Source organism: Homo sapiens, chromosome 10, assembly GCF_000001405.40.
Source record: "Homo sapiens chromosome 10, GRCh38.p14 Primary Assembly".
Taxonomy (NCBI): domain Eukaryota; kingdom Metazoa; phylum Chordata; class Mammalia; order Primates; family Hominidae; genus Homo; species Homo sapiens.
In genome coordinates, this window is record NC_000010.11 from 93,493,077 (window position 1) to 93,509,425 (window position 16,349).

The 16,349-nt window shown below is 41.2% G+C and overlaps 1 protein-coding gene across 8 annotated transcripts in view, besides 1 other annotated feature; it reads left to right on the top strand.

Annotated features, from left to right (window-relative positions):
* Window positions 3,355-3,864: a silencer, noted in NCBI's record as "silent region_2628". NCBI's record gives its function as "represses an Ori minimal core promoter by ATAC-STARR-seq in GM12878 lymphoblastoid cells {active_cell/tissue: GM12878}" and the evidence as "EXISTENCE:reporter gene assay evidence [ECO:0000049][PMID:35858748]".
* CEP55 (centrosomal protein 55) overlaps window positions 3,536-16,349 on the top strand; it is a 32,481-nt gene continuing 19,667 nt past the window's right edge. The window contains exons 1-4 of one of the 8 annotated variants that reach the window (NM_018131.5): window positions 3,536-3,847; window positions 6,964-7,158; window positions 10,037-10,312; window positions 13,912-13,980. In NM_018131.5, coding sequence (NP_060601.4) covers window positions 6,976-7,158; window positions 10,037-10,312; window positions 13,912-13,980 — 528 coding nt within the window. In that variant the 5' untranslated portion in view covers window positions 3,536-3,847; window positions 6,964-6,975. Of the gene's footprint in view, window positions 3,848-6,963; window positions 7,159-10,014; window positions 10,313-13,911; window positions 13,981-16,349 lie in introns of those variants that run through there. The other 7 variants (XM_017016373.2, XM_011539919.2, XM_017016372.2 and 4 more) reach the window with 7 other exon arrangements.

The following is a 16,349-nucleotide window of genomic DNA, read 5'->3' on the forward strand; positions in this document are numbered from 1 at the left end:
AAAATCAGATGTGGCCCCTACCTTCAAGGATTTTGCAGCCTAGTGAGGGGAAAAGATACCAACCAAAGAATCACTCTCAAATAAATGTGCAATTATAAGTGTGGTGAGTGGTTGGAGAAGTACAAGCTAAAGCGAGGACATCCCTGCAGCAGTGAGAACTAAGATTTTCCGGGGAAGTAGGAAAGGAGATAACAGTGGAGAATTCCAGACAGGGCCTGTGGAAAAGCCCCGAAGGCAGGAAGGAGTCTGCCTGGTCAAGGAATGAAAGGTGTCAAGCATGGCTGGTTTGGGACTTTGGTCTCCACTAGGCCCCAGAGGACAGATGGAGAATTTTTTTTCCTTATTTTAAGAACAATGGTAAATCAATCAAATGCTTTGTGTTTGCATTGGGAAATAGGTGACAAGATTGCATTTGCATTATTTAAAAGAAAAAATCCCTGCTAAGGAGAAATCAGATTGAAAGGAGACAAGAGTTCATTCATTTCTTCTTGTTCTGAATTTAGAGAACATTTATTGTGTGCATTCCAGTGCTGTGCAATAGAAATATAGTATGAGCCACATTTATCATTTTGAATTTTCTAGTCACATCAAAAAAAGTAAAACACATTAGGTGAGATCCGTTTTAATATGTTTCATTTTACCCAATATATCAAAAATACTATCATTTTAACATGTAATAATATAAACAAGTATTAGTGCAATATTTTACATTCTTTTTTCATACTAAGTTTTTGAAATCTGCTGTGTATATTCACACACCTCAATTTGGACATAAAATCTTCCTCAGAAATACTTGATCTATATGTAGATTTCATAAAATTTACAATTGAAAAAACAGGTTTTTGTACCCAGGTTGTTCCAAACATACTTAAAAGTTTTCCAATAAAATAATAATAATAAAAAAAAGAAAAAAATAAGAAAATCAAAAGTTTTTCAATAAATAAACTTTTAGTTTTTAAATTAAGATTAAATAAAGTTAAAAATTCAGTTTCTCAATAACGGTGGCCACATTTCAAGCACTCAGTAGCCATCTATGGCTAGTGCTACCATATTGGATAGATCAGGAGGGACCTTTCCATCACTGCAGAAAGTTGTATTGGACAGTGCAGATCTACACGCTGGTGAGGCCCTGTGTGTTCATTAGCATTGCCTTGGAAGATGTAACCTTCAAAGGTGATAGGTGCTCTAACCTACAACAGCCTCCCTATTTCCATTTAATATCTTTAAACCCATTCAGCAGCCTTTTGATCCTGTTTTGGTTTCCCAAGAACAGGTTCCTACTGGGAAGAAAATGAGCTCACCTGCTTAGATAAATATCTAGTCTGCTTGGCTGTTACATTTCTCTTTACATGAATAAAGATGAGTTTCCCAATCTTCATCCTAGACTATCCCTGAGTGAACTATCAACATCAAAGTACTTGTGAGATCTTGTGGAAACTACCAGCTCTTCACAACCTCATGACTGGCAGCTCCTATCTGTAAAGAGCAAACATTAATTTTCAGGGCTAGCAATGGCAATTAGGGAATTTAACAAGCCCCCCAGGCCAATGAGCCTCTTGTTTGCTCCTCTTCCTCAAGGTCCCCACTCACAGGGCGACCTTTAGCCAGAAAAGAAGGTCCTGGAGGGCAGGTGTGGAATTGGAGTGTCTGGCACAGCAGGCCTGGGTGCTGGCTACCCAGGTGCCAGTCCGCCAGGTGCCACCTCTCTCCAGGGTCCCTCCTCCCTCTCCCCCATTTTTTGCTCCCCATTTGGCTTGAAGGTGAACAGGGAAATGTTTTTCTCTATATCTCTTTAAGAATCTTTGTAAATCTCTGTGGAAATTAATTTTGCCCCTCAACTCTGGGCAATGAATAATGTTCACACGATGATTTATCTTTTGCCCTGATTTTTCCCACCCTAATCCCACTTGATACTTTAGTTTACCTTCCCTTCAGAAATGGGAGCTCCTTGGAAGCAGGTACCAAACGTTATCTTGCATTCTGTTTTGGTTTTGTTTCTCTGATTCTTTAAAATTCCCCACATGGTTTTCTCATCCATTCTATTCAGTAACATTTGAGTGTTGCCTTTTGTTTAACAATGGCTAACATCAATTGAACATTTACTAAATGTTAAGCACTTTACATGAATTTCTTTCATGTAAAAAAATTTTAAAGTTTTAAAATTAGAGACAGGGATTGGGTGGGGTGAGAGTGGATCTCTCTGTGTTGCCCAGGCTGGTCTCCAACTCCTGACCTCAAGCAATCCTCGCTCCCCGTCCTCACGTAGTGGTGGGATTACAGGAATTAGCCATTCCACCTGGCCGGATTTCCTCATTTAATCCTTATAACCGAGCTGTGAAGTAAATATTATTATTTGCATCATTTTACACATCGGGAAACCGAGGCTCAAATAGGTTAAATAAATTTATCCAAGGAGACACATCTAGTCAGGGCAGTAAGGAATTAAATCTAGAAAGTCCTAATCTAGAGTTTATAACCTTTGTACAATATTGTGTACCTAGGATGTTTTGCTACTGTGTATCTACTGTTTTAAATCTCCAGCGAGTTTATGCTGGGTCTAGGAGAGAAAGGGAGGCCCTGCTAAACATTTCATGTGCTTCTTCTCTCAGCAGTAACGTTCTCAAAGCGGCTAATCAAGAGCTAGAATCGATCAATAGATAGATATCAGGCTGGAGGGTAGCAGTCTGGTCTGAAAGCCGGTCCGCTAGCATTCATAATCTCAGCGTTCAACCTGGGCGTGCCTCTCATCTCTCCCGTTAACACTCCCTGCTGTGCTGCTGATTTTTGGCAGTAATCCCAGCACTTTAGGAGGCCGAGGTGGAAGGATCACTTGAAGGCAGGAGTTCGTGATCAGAGTGGGAAACAAAGTGAGACCACCCCCCCCCCCCCCCACTCCGCTGTCTGTATAAAATTTTTTAATAAAAAATTAGCCGGGCGTGGTGGCGTGCGCCTGTAGTCTCAGCTACTCGGCAGGCTGAGGCAAGACGATCGCTTGAACCCGGGAGACTGAGGTTGCAGTGAGCTATGATTGCACCACTCCACTCCAGCCTGGGCGACAGAGTGAGACCCGAGGGGATGACAAGGGGGCTGTGCTCCTTTGTGAAATCCCGTTGTCCCAGGGCAGGAGGGGCCGCACTTCACACAGGGAGAATCTATGCTCAAGAGCGCAGAACTAGTTCGTCTCGGTCCATCGTCACTGGTTTTATCCCATTAAAAATAGTAATTTGCTTTCTCCTAAAAGCGTATAAACACAAAACCAGCCCCTGACTGCGAGACACCAAGCTTGTTTAGGTCTAAGCCCGCAGAGAACCCCCGATCCCAGAATTAGCTGGCGGGCCCGGGAGGAAGTGTTCCCGCCCTCTGTCCCGCCCCGCGGCCCCAGCCACTTCTCGGCCCGCCCTCAGGTTTACTCTCCGCCCTTCAAAGGCGGCAGCCAATCGGGGAGCCGCGTCCCCGCCGCGCGCGCGCTGCTCCTCCTTCTTGCGGGCCGCGCCCTGCCGGCAGTGACGTGCCCCGCCCTGCAGCCGCGGGATTCAAACTCCCGGAAGCGGCATCCACACCTGATGGTGTGACTCGGCCGACGCGAGCGCCGCGCTTCGCTTCAGCTGCTAGCTGGCCCAAGGGAGGCGACCGCGGAGGGTGGCGAGGGGCGGCCAGGACCCGCAGCCCCGGGGCCGGGCCGGTCCGGACCGCCAGGGAGGGCAGGTCAGTGGGCAGATCGCGTCCGCGGGATTCAATCTCTGCCCGCTCTGATAACAGTCCTTTTCCCTGGCGCTCACTTCGTGCCTGGCACCCGGCTGGGCGCCTCAAGACCGTTGTCTCTTCGATCGCTTCTTTGGACTTGGCGGTGGGTATCATCTCCTTACAGATAGGCGCAGAGAGGCCAAGTGACTTGCCCAAGGTCTTTTGTTAGGACGGCTTTTTCCGATTGGCAGGCACTTTCGTTGTGTGTTCCTCAAACATCTTTATTTTAGAAGTGAGAAAACTTGTGCCTTTTTTTGCAGTTTCTCTTTTCCTGTCTGTCTCCTCAAGTGAGATTTTATGTGGGAATTTTTAAAGATTGGCGTCGCCTTGTAGAAGATGCGGCTTGTAATTGAGGCCTTGTACCATTTACTGGATGGAAGCGCTTGTTTGGTCACCTGTCCAGCATGACTTAGGTCACTTCAGCTAATCAACCAATCATTTCTTTTCTTTTTTCTTTTTTTTTGAGATGGAGTCTCGCTCTGTCACCAAGGCTGGAGTGCAATGGCACGATCTTGGCTCACTGCAACCTCTGCCTCCTGGGTTCAAGCGATTCTCCTTCCTCAGCCTCCTGAATAGCTGGGACTACAGGCGTGCGCCACCACGCCCGGTTAATTTTTGTATTTTTAGTAGAGACAGGGTTTCGCCATGTTGGGCAGGCTGGTCTCGAACTCCTGACCTCAGATGATCCACCTGCCTCGGCCTTCCAGAGTGCTGGGATTACAGGCGTGAGCCACCGCGCCCGGCCCCAATCAACCAATCATATCTGAGGGCTTGCTGTTAGGCTCTGTGGGTAACAACAACAACAACAAAAATCAAAGTGCAGTCCTTGAAAAAATAGTTGAACAATTGAAAAAATAAAAGGTTAGCAGGAAGTGTAATTGGGTACTAGATTGTGTAGGGGTGGGGGTGGGGCAGCTATATCGTTTGTTAAGAGTTCACAGAGGGAAGGCATGCTGAGGAAGGTTTGAACTGGGGGAACCCTGTGGATGACTGGAATAGGAAATACAGGGAAAGGTGGCCGGGCGCGGTGGTTCACGCCTGTAATCCCAGCACTTTGGGAGGCCGAGGCGGGCAGATCACTTGAGGTCAGGAGTTCGAGACTAGCCTGACCAATATGGTGAAACCTCATCTCTACTAATAGATAAAAAAAAATTAGCCAGGCGTGGTGACGCGCACCTGTAGTCCCAGCTACTCAGGAGGCTGAGGCAGGAGAATCCCTTGAACCCGGGAGGCGGAGGTTGCAGTGATCTGAGATAGTGCCACTGCACTCCAGCCTGGGCGACAGAGCGAGACTCTGCCGCCCCTAACGCCCCGCCCCCGCCAAAAAAAAAAAGAAAGAAACAGAAACAGAAAAAAGAAAATACAGGGAAAGGAGGTTGGTGGGACTAGGTGGTGGGGGAGATCCAAACCGTCTGGGCCAGAGGCTAGAAACTAGTAGTCATTCATTCACTGCCAGAGTTTCTGTGCAAAGGTTAGGAAGCAGATGTTTGGGGGTTCTTTCACGTTCTGCAGATCTATATTTCCATCATTTTGTGTCTCAATGACTTGGTAGTAGTTTTCTGTCCTACGACCCACGATATCAAGTCAACAGTGTGTTATCAACAGAAACACATAGGAAAGAACTTCCTGTGGCAGCAGGTGACTGAGAGACGCCATAACCTTGCATTTCTTTAACTGATGGATGAGCTACTGCAATCTTTCACCTTATAATGGCAAAAATCCAGGACTAACCTTTTGATAGATGATTTCTTCTACTCAATCTCCACAGTTCTAATATGTTTAGACGTTCTGATTTCACACAGGACAATCTTAAAAGTCACTTCACTACCATTCTAAGGAGGTCTCTCCTGTTTTTACTGATATCATTTATCCCTGTACTTCTCTTGTGTAATATTTATTACAGTTTGAGGATTCATGAACCCTTGTTTGTTTCCTTGTTATTGCCTGCCTTTACTACACTGAAAGCCCCATAACATTAGGGAACATGTCTTTTTTTTTTTTTTAAACCAGTTTACACCCAGCATGTATTAGGATACCTGGTAAATAGTAGGCTTTATAGTAATTTTTGAATGCACTAATGGGCTCATACTCCTTTATATCCTTTAATCACACTGCCATTATTTTATCTTGGGATACATGAAGTAGAAAAATGTTTTTTAACCTCCTTAATTAGAGTTACTTTTATATACTATTTATATGCATCGTATGCTTCACTAGATTTTTGCCTGCTAAAGTTTATATTATATACTTGTTTCTAAACTGTCATCCAGTACTGTTAGCAGATACTGAGTTTCTCCTTACTTAATTTGGCCCCTTATTCTTAATTCCTTTCATGCCTGACTCCCCTGAATGTTATACCTCTTTTCCAGTAAATGTCTTATTTTAGGTTCTCTTCACTTTTTCCCACTGTGCTCTCTCAAATGATTATTAAGATGGATCTGAACTAGGCTACCTTCTAAAACAGAGGACCTATGTTAAGTAATGACATTTCGTGCCTATATACTCAGAATTACATTATTTACCAACAGCTTTTTATTTTGGGCCAAGATATGTCCTTGATTGTGACCTACTTCTTTCAGGCTTTATTTAATGGTTGGAGACCCCTTCATTGTTTTTTAAACCAAACTTTTCCACAAAAGAATTACACATATAATTACACATATAGAACACTACACAAAACATAAATGTACAAGTTGACTTTTTTTTTTTTTTTTTTTTTGAGACGGAGTCTTGCTGTGTCACCCAGGCTGGAGTACATTGGTGCGATCTTGGCTCACAGCAACCTCCACCTCCCGGGCTCAAGCGATTCTCCTGCCTCAGCCTCCCCAGCATCTGGGATTACAGGCACCTGCCACCACGCCTGGCTAAGTTTTGTAGTTTTAGTAGAGATGGAGTTTCACCATGTTGGCCAGACTGGTCTCGAACTCCTGACCTCATGATCCACCCATCTTGACCTCCCAAAGTGCTGGGGCTACAGGCGTGAGCCACCGTACCCAGCCCAAGTTGACATATTTTAGAAGGTGAATACTCCCATTTATCTACCACTGAGATTAAAAAAAAAAGTTACAATACCCCAGAAGCCTCCATCCATCTTTCTCCATACCCTGCTGGTTTGGATATATCATTTCTATTTAGAGCAGATAGGTTATTAGACCTGTTTCAAACTTGAGATTTAAATTTTTAAACTCAGAATTATACAGTTGATTTTTATTTTTACAGACCATTTCAGAGATGTCTTCCAGAAGTACCAAAGATTTAATTAAAAGTAAGTGGGGATCGAAGCCTAGTAACTCCAAATCCGAAACTACATTAGAAAAATTAAAGGGAGAAATTGCACACTTAAAGACATCAGTGGATGAAATCACAAGTGGGAAAGGAAAGCTGACTGATAAAGAGAGACACAGACTTTTGGAGGTAAATGGTCTTCTGATCCTTTAAATTGTAAGCTCTCCAAGAAAGCGATGCATGAAGATTTCCTGATGCTACCTTCTTACTCTTGCCGTGTTCCCTGTCTTGTCCAGTTGATTAGTTTTGGAAAGCTGACATTGGGTTTAGAATCTTAAATTCCTACTTTGACTTTGCCAAGTCTTAGATGTACTTTAGTCATTACTAACTTCTCACCTTTTAAATGTAATTGAGTATGTGTTTTGAGGTTACCAGGTACTAAGTTTGTTCTGGAAATAAAGACATTGCGATTAATAGTTTTGCACCTTTAACATGGTCTGTTTCACCTTTAGTATGCTCTGTTTCTCAGTTATTTAAAACAAAGTAATAACCTAATTCATCATTCTTCCTATAGCTTCTTGGTAATTTAGCTTAACTACATGAATATTCTTGATAACTTTTGTTATGCTGTATTTAAGATTGTGAAACATTCTGGCTAACTATTTTCGCTATTTTTAAATTGATAGCATAACTTAGAAGCATTCGATTTTCCATACTTTTTTTTTTTTTTTGAGACTGGGTCTCAACTCTGTTGCCCAGGCTGGAGTACAGTGGCTTGATCATAACTCACTGCAGCCTCAAACTCTGGGCCTCAGGCAATCCTCCTGCCTGGGCCTCCCAAAGTGCTGGAATTCCAGGTGTGAACCGCTATGCCTGGCCATTCCATGCTTTTTTGGAGTACTAAATTACTCGTTGATGTACTTTAAGGATACTGTGCTGGGCTTATATCTCTTTTTTACTGTGGGAGAGGAGAAAATATTTACCCAATAGTTATATAATCTGGTTTTCCTGTTAATTTACTAAATGTAAAAAATCAGATCTGTCCATTTCAGAGTATTAAATAGTGTTCAGATTTCCTTATTTAAAACATATTTTATCATGCATATTGGCTGCTATCCAAGTAATTCTGGTTTTCAGGCTTTTGAAGGAAAAATTATTAGACATGTTGGCATTTACACTCTGTTCAACTATATTTCGGATTCCCTAATTTATAATTTGTTATGGCATAGACAGTAAGGAAGTTAGGAACTTATTAGAACTAGAGGGACTTAAAAATGTAATCATAAATATAATCACAAATTTGGATTTAATTATTTTGCAAAAGTGCTTTTATTGTTTGTATTTAGAAAATAAATGGTTAAGGCCGGGCACGGTGGCTCATGCCTATAATCCCAGCACTTTGGGAGGCTGAGACAGGTGGATCACCTGAGGTCAGGAGTTCAAGACCAGCCTGGCCAATATGGCGAAACAAAAATTAGCCGGATGTGTTGGTGTGCACCTGTAATCCCAACTACTCGGGAAGCTGAGGCAGGAGAATCGCATGAACCCAGGAGACAGGTTGCAGTGAGCCAAGATCGCACCACTGCACTCCAGCCTGGGTGACAGAGCAAGACTTCTGTCTCAAAAAAAAAATAAATAAATAAAATAAAATAAATGGTTAAACAGTATACCATTTGATTTATTTAAATTCTCTAAACAGGCACATAATGAAACTGATTTATTTTTTGTAACAACATACATTGAGGTAAATGCTTTTTCAAGCACTTAGAGAACAGTCATCACCAGTCCACAGATATGAAGGTTATTTTGCAATCTGGTAAAGGAATCTTATTGCTTCCCTGAGAGATAGCTTTCCATTTCATTCCACTTTTTGAGAAGCACTGGATATTTTGTTCCTTTATAATCAATTAAACTTCCTATAACTTCTACCCATTTGTTCTAATTGTGCCTATTAAAGTTACACAGAACAAGTCTTATTTTTCCTATGCAAACTGACAATTTATTAGATATGTAAGGAAATTTTGCTTCCTCTTAACTTTTCTGCAGACCAAGCTCATATTCTTCAGCTTTTCTGGCTTCTTATCATCTTGAATAGTTTTTAGTTTATTCATATCCCTCCTGAATTATGCACTTAGAATTGAACACAGTATCCTAAATATGTTCTGGAAAACACAGATTGAAATAGTAGTGTTACATCTACTTAGCTGGATACTGTACTCCATTAAAGCCTAAAATTGTATGGCTCTGTTATCTGTCTCATACTACTGATTTGAGTTAAGCTTGTGGCCAACTATAATCTCCTCATTATTTTCAAATGAATAACCATGCCCCTAAACTTAAATTTTCCCCATTTTATATTTGAACAACTGCTGCTTTTTTCTTCCTAAATTCAAGTTTTAACTTCATGCTGTTTTGATCCTGTTAGCCTATAATTTTAATAATTATTTCTATTATCTTTTTATTTTACTTTTTCCTTTATGCCAGCAGCAGTTTAAAAAACATTACTTATGTATATCTTGTGAATCTTTGAAGATGTTAAGCATTCCTTTAGAGATCACCTTCTAGATTCAATACTGAATCATTTATCGAAAGTAAGCAGGTTAATGAATGCATCCCTCTCCTGCTGAAATATTCTGTAACTTTTAAGTTCCACTGATTCAAATTCATTAAGGAGCATGTATATCTTGTGTGACCGACTTTTAGCTCTTAGTTTTTACAAGATCCAGTGTTATGGAAGAATGATTACCAAATACTCATGGGAAAGCTAGCCCTTCTTTAGCTTTTTCTCACCACCCTTGATAGAGGTGGTTTCTCCTTTCTTTGTGTCTGTGCTCATTTTTTAATCTGTCTTAACTACAGCACTTACAACGTTGCATTAATACATTGGCTTACTTCTCTGTGAGCTATCTGAACATAAAACTTTGGCTTCCTAATCTTTTTTGGCCTTGGTATTTAGCGTAATGCTGACTTGATAATAAATGCTTCATAAATGCTTGTTGAAGTATATATTGTTTAGCTAGATGTTTGACCTGGCTTTGTTCTAAGATTCTTCTTAGTTTATGTCTAGAAAATTCGAGTCCTTGAGGCTGAGAAGGAGAAGAATGCTTATCAACTCACAGAGAAGGACAAAGAAATACAGCGACTGAGAGACCAACTGAAGGCCAGATATAGTACTACCACATTGCTTGAACAGCTGGAAGAGACAACGAGAGAAGGAGAAAGGAGGGAGCAGGTGTTGAAAGCCTTATCTGAAGAGAAAGACGTATTGAAACAACAGTTGTCTGCTGCAACCTCACGAATTGCTGAACTTGAAAGCAAAACCAATACACTCCGTTTATCACAGGTGCTAATCATTTCTTTAAACCCAGATTTTTTTTTTCTTTCTGATACAGTTTGTAATTCTTAGGAGGAATGAGTTTGTTAAGACATGCTTCCCAAATGATGAGACAAATGATTAGTATAGTATACTATCAGGTCACTTCACTTTTTTTAATAGCCCAGTCCCTTCTCTATAAGCAAAAATAGTTAATATGGTACCCTCCACTCCTTGTACCATTGATTTGCCTGGAGGAATATTCAGAAGACAGCATCTACTGTGTATTTACAATTACCAAGATTTTTTTTGAGCTCTTATTTCTATAGTTTGTATCATGAAAACAGTAGGCTTCATTTTTTTGGTTATTTTTCATATTTGAAACATACAATTATAATATCAAGTATACTTTTCCTAACTGCACTTGCATTTTCTCCCCGTTTTGTTTGAGAGGCACTAGCGTCATAGAAAGAACAAGGATACAGAAATAGACATGTGAGTTCAGATCTTGGTTTTGTACTTGCCAGCTCTGTGACTCTGAACAAATTTGTTAACCTTTATAGCCTTAGAGACAATACTAGACTTCTCCAGACCCCTGTTCTAAATCTTAGTTTCTTTTTTTTTTTTTTAAACATATAAGCTAAACCTGAGTTTCCACATCAGTAAAATCAGGATAGGAATAGTGAGAATTAAATGTAAATATGTATGTAAATTGCCTCGCATAGTGCCTAGTATATAGTAGGTGTTCGGTAAATGGTTACTTATTGATCAGACCTTTGATTCTTTTGGAGATTTGGAGATTCGAATAATACTAACATTAATATCATCTATAGGCTGGGCATGGTGGCTCACGCCTATAATCCCACCACTTTGGGAGGCCAAGGCAGGCAGATCACCTGGGGTCAGGAGTTTGAGACCAGCCTGGCCAACACAGTGAAACCCCATCTCTACTAAAAATACAAAAATTAGCCGAGTGTGACGGCACGCATCTGTAATCCCAGCTATTCGGGAGGCTGAGGCACTAGAATCGCTTGAACCCGAAAGGTGGAGGTTGCAGTGAGCCAAGATTGCGCCACTGTACTCCGGCCTGGGTGACAGAGTGAGCCTCTGTCTCAAAAAAAAAAAAATCATCTATAGTAGAAAATCTGTAGCTTTCAAATATATCTCAGTGCTGTTAAGGATCTTTCTCTGTACTTTATTTCCCATTTAGGGGAGATAGTGATCAGACCTATACATTTATGTGTATTTTCATAGATGGGCGTTTGAGTGTTTCTGCAGATGAGTTCAAAAAGTTGAAGTTTTTCTAGAGAATTTCCACAGAGCTGAAACTCATAAAACGTTACAGTCAGATTCAAAGTAGCTGACTAAAATTTTTCTTTGAAGTTCAAGAGTTAGTTTCTCCACTTTTGGAATGTGAAATACAAACTTGGTAGAAATTATAATTTTTAAAATTTTTATTTATTTTTTATTTTTTGAGACAGAGTCTCATTTTGCCACCCAGGCTGGAGTGCAATGGCGCAATCTCAGCTCACTGCAACCTCCACCTGGGTTCAAGTAATTCTCCTGCCTCAGCCTCCCAAGTATTTGGGATTACAGGCACCTGCCACGACGCCCTGCTGATTTTTGTATTATTAATAGAGACGGGGTTTCAACATGTTGGCCAGGCTGGTCTTGAACTCCTTACCTCAGGTGATCCGCCTGCCTCAGCCTCCCAAAGTGCTGGGATTACAGGCATAAGCCACCGTATCTGGCCTGAAATTATAATTTTTAAAAATGTATTCTTATAATAATTTTGTGGGCTACTCGTATTGATTTCTTTATTAACTAGTATGTCTGACTCCTATAACAACTTCCAAATGTCAGTGTCTTATGCAACAAATGTTTATTTTTCTCTCATGCTGGTCTAGTCCAGATTGGAGTAGAGGAAGCTTTGCTCCACAGAGTCATTTGACTCCAGGTTCCTTCCTTCTAGTGGCTCCACCTTCCTTTAGGGTAGGGTCCCCCACCAAGTCCTCTGTATGTAGCTGTGAGATGGAGCTTGTGGAGAACTGCCTAGGAGGGGTCTGGGGCCAGGCCTGGTATTGACATATCTCACCTCTGCTCACATTCCACTGGAACATGGCTCCACTAACCACAGGGAAGGCTGGAATCAGTCTACAGTGTGCCCAGGGTAAAAGGAAAGGGATTTAGAGAACTATCTTTGTCATAGTTTCCACCTCGAGGACTGAATTGAGAGAGAGAAAGGGCTACATATTAAAGTGAATGAATAGAGCATCTTTGGAGAAAAATAATTTTTTTGAGCTTCTTTGCCAGTATTCACAAGTCTCTTATAGCTATTAAAAGACTGAAATACAGCTTTTTCTATGTTTGTTGGCCAGCCTGGCTACCTAGCCACCCACTTCTCTTTTATTTCTCTGAGAAAATGAAGAGGAGAGAAATAATTTTTGAGTTCCATATAATCTATATGAACTAATACTAATTAATAATTAATACTTTTTTTTTTTAGATAGAATCTTGCTCTGTTGCCCAGGCTGGAGTAATTTTTGTATTATTAGTAGAGATGGGGTTTCACCATGTTAGCCAGGCTGGTCTTGAACTCCTGACCTCAGGTGATCTGCCTGCCTCGGCCTCCCAAAGTGCTGGGATTACAGGCATAAGCCTGATCTTGGCTCACTGCAACCTCCTCCTCCCGGGTTCTGCCTCAGCCCCCCGACTAGCTGGGACTACAGGTGCGCTACCATGCCTGGCTAATTTTTGTATTTTTAGTAAAGATGGGGTTTCACCATATTGGCCAGGCTGGTCTCAAACTCCTGACCTTGTGATCCTACCCGCCTTGCCCTCCCAAAGTGTTGGGATTATAGGCGCGAGCCACTGCACCCGGCCTAATTAATACTATTATTAATACAAAACATGATTCTAGAAAAAAAATTTTACCTTTTGTTTGACAATTTAATGTCTTCTAGGTGTCATTTAAATAGCCTAGTTGTTTTGTGTTTGTCTTTTTGGTAAAAATCACTGGGCTATTCATATGCACTGAGGGCTATTCTGGCAATCCTGGGGTCTAGAGGACTGCAGAAGTCAGATTAGATAGAAAATCTCAGGATTTCCAGTCTGTTTGGGAAACTTCAGGGGATCTTAATTTTCACAATGGTTATCTCTGGTAACTCTCACCTGGCTTGATGGTTTACCACCATCTACTAGATCTGGATTTTTTGTTTTCTTTTTTTGAGACAGAGTCTCACTCTATTGCTCAGGCTGGAGTGCAGTGGCGCAATCTCGGCTCACTGCAGCCTCCACCTCCCGGGTTCAAGTGATTCTCCTGCCTCAGCCTCCCGTGTAGCTGGGATTATAGGCACAGGCCACCAGGCTCAGCTAATTTTTCTTTTTGTATTTTTAGTAGAGATGGGTTTTCGCCATGTTGGCCAGGCTGGTCTCAAACTCCTGACCTCAAATGATCCACCCTCCTTAACCTCCCAGAGTGCTGGGATTATAGGCGTGAGCCACCGTGCCCAGCCTAGATCTGGATTTCGGGATGCCCCCGTGAGTTATACTGTATTATTATGGTGAATGTAATGAGGCAACTTCTATTGTGGAATGTCTGATGTTAACTAATGTTGGATTATTTACAGACTGTGGCTCCAAACTGCTTCAACTCATCAATAAATAATATTCATGAAATGGAAATACAGCTGAAAGATGTAAGTTCATTTCCTTTTAAGTTATGGGTAAAGAGGGCTAATTCATTTATTCTTAAGTTTTACAGAAATTGGCAACATTAGTGCTGTGACAGAAAAACTGAATGGTTTGAGAGCTTCATTTAAGTCTCTTTCTATACATTCGAGAATCATTTCTTCTAAGCATAGTCCCTTTTTTTTTTTTTTTTCCTGAGGCAAAGTCTCGGTCTGTTGCCCAGGCTGGAGTGCAGTGGCATCTTGGTTCACTGCAACCTCTGTCTCCTGGGTTCAAGCAGTTCTACCTCAGCCTCCTGAGTAGCTGGGATTACAGGCACGAGCCACCACACTCCGCTAAGTTTTTGTATTTTTAGTAGAGATGGGGTTTCACCATGTTGGCCAGGCTGGTCTCAAACTCCTGACCTCAAGTGATCTGCCCACCTCAGCCTTTCAAAGTGCTGGGATTACAGCTGTGAGCTACCATGCCCGGCATCATGGTCTCTGTAGGGTAGACAGCCCTAGAAATTATCACTGCCACCAAATACCTCAATAACATCCCTTTTCTATCTAAATCTAATTTCCCTAATTTGCCCAATCATTTTATTGTTTCTTGTTTTTTCAGTATTTTTCTCTTTTTGAGATGGAGTCTTGCTCTGTTGCCCAAGCTGGAATGGACTGGTGAGATCTCAGCTCACTGCAGCCTCCACCTCCCAGGTTCAAGTGACTCTTCTGCCTCAGCCTCCCAAGTACCTGGGATTACAGGCACCCACCACCACGCCCGGCTAATTTTTATTTTTAGTAGAGATGGGGTTTCACCATGTTGGCCAGGCTGGTCTTGAACTCCCGACCTCAGGTGATCTGCCTGCCTCGGCCTCCCAGAGTGCTGGGATTACGGGCGTGTGCCACTGTGCCTGGCCTCCATTTTATTCTTATAATGTAATTTAATTTGTAGTATCTTCTCTTTTGGTTTATCCATGCAAGATGCTCTCTTTGGTTTGAATACTTCTCTTGAAACTAAGGTTTGCTTTCGTAGGTTGAAAAGGAAACGTTCTTTGTACACTCAGTACTTCCTTTCTCTAGAATTTGGTATGAGGTTATTTTAGTTATACAGTAAAGCTGTATTATTGCAAACTGATAAATGGATTGGTGGGTTTTATTGGGAATGGAATAAATTGAGGACACAGGACTGCTACTTACAGTGTATTTTTTTCAAGTTTTAGAGATATGAAGTATAAAGTTTCTGACTTAAGTATTAGGTCAGTATGTTGGTATTTTGGTTCCAAAAATATTACTGGCATGTCTATCCTGATATAAGCATGTTCTTAAGATTTCTGTTTTACTTCATCTATCAAGTATCCTTTGAAGTCTTTTTGATCTTCAAAAGAAGAATTTAAATCTCCTGGATGTCTAGCCAGGTGCCAAGTACTCTTATCAGAATACGTAATTTACCTAGAGGTAACTGGAATGAAAAGGAAAAGTTCTATGTCTTATTACACTGAAGTTTGTTATTCTATGTATATCCATACCTATGCATTAGATGCACATATTTAGAAATATCTTACACAGCTCCTGCATTCCACTTTATTTACTCCACCTGCACCACAATGGCTTTCCAGCTACTCCTTGAATAAACCACCTTTTCTCTTTCTGTTCCCTCTGCCTGGGACACTCTTCCCCAGATATCTTCATGATTTCCTCCCTACCTCATGCAGGTTTTTATTTAAATGCCACTTTCTTGGGGTTGGGGGAGGACAGAATGGGGGCTGCCTGACCACTTTGTCTAAAATTATAGCTCCCAGACAATTCCTATTCTTTTCTCCTGCTTTTCCCTCCTCATCACATTCTACAGCTAAATTTACAATCTATTTAACTTCTCTTGTTTAATGTTCAACCTTTCCATCAGAATAGAAGTCATATGAAGGAAGGATTTTTGCATGTTTTGTACATTGCTATATCCTCAGTGTCTAGAACATTTGAAAGAATGACTGGATGGAATCTTGGGAAGTTTCTTGAATTTTACTGGTGTCTCTTCTAGAAAAGTACCTGAAAATAGATGCCATTATCTTAAGCTTACATGTGCTTTTTAGGCATCTCAGTGCTAACTGCTTCAGATATCACCTGAGGGTATTTTTAGATAATGATGATTCTTTTTTATGAAATTAACTTTGAAATACTACATATGTAAGCCCAAGCTTTTTGTTCTATCTTCTCAGCTTATTTAAGGGTCACATTGTGCTTGTCTCCTCTGTCTTAGAAAGGCGTTTATACAAATGGGGTAAAATTTAACCCAACTCTTCTACAAATGGTGGTCTAGACTGAGCAAGATTCACAGACTCTAATATACTAGGTCTGGGGTAGTGCCTGAGTTTTCTGCATTTCCAGTAAACTCCTAGCTG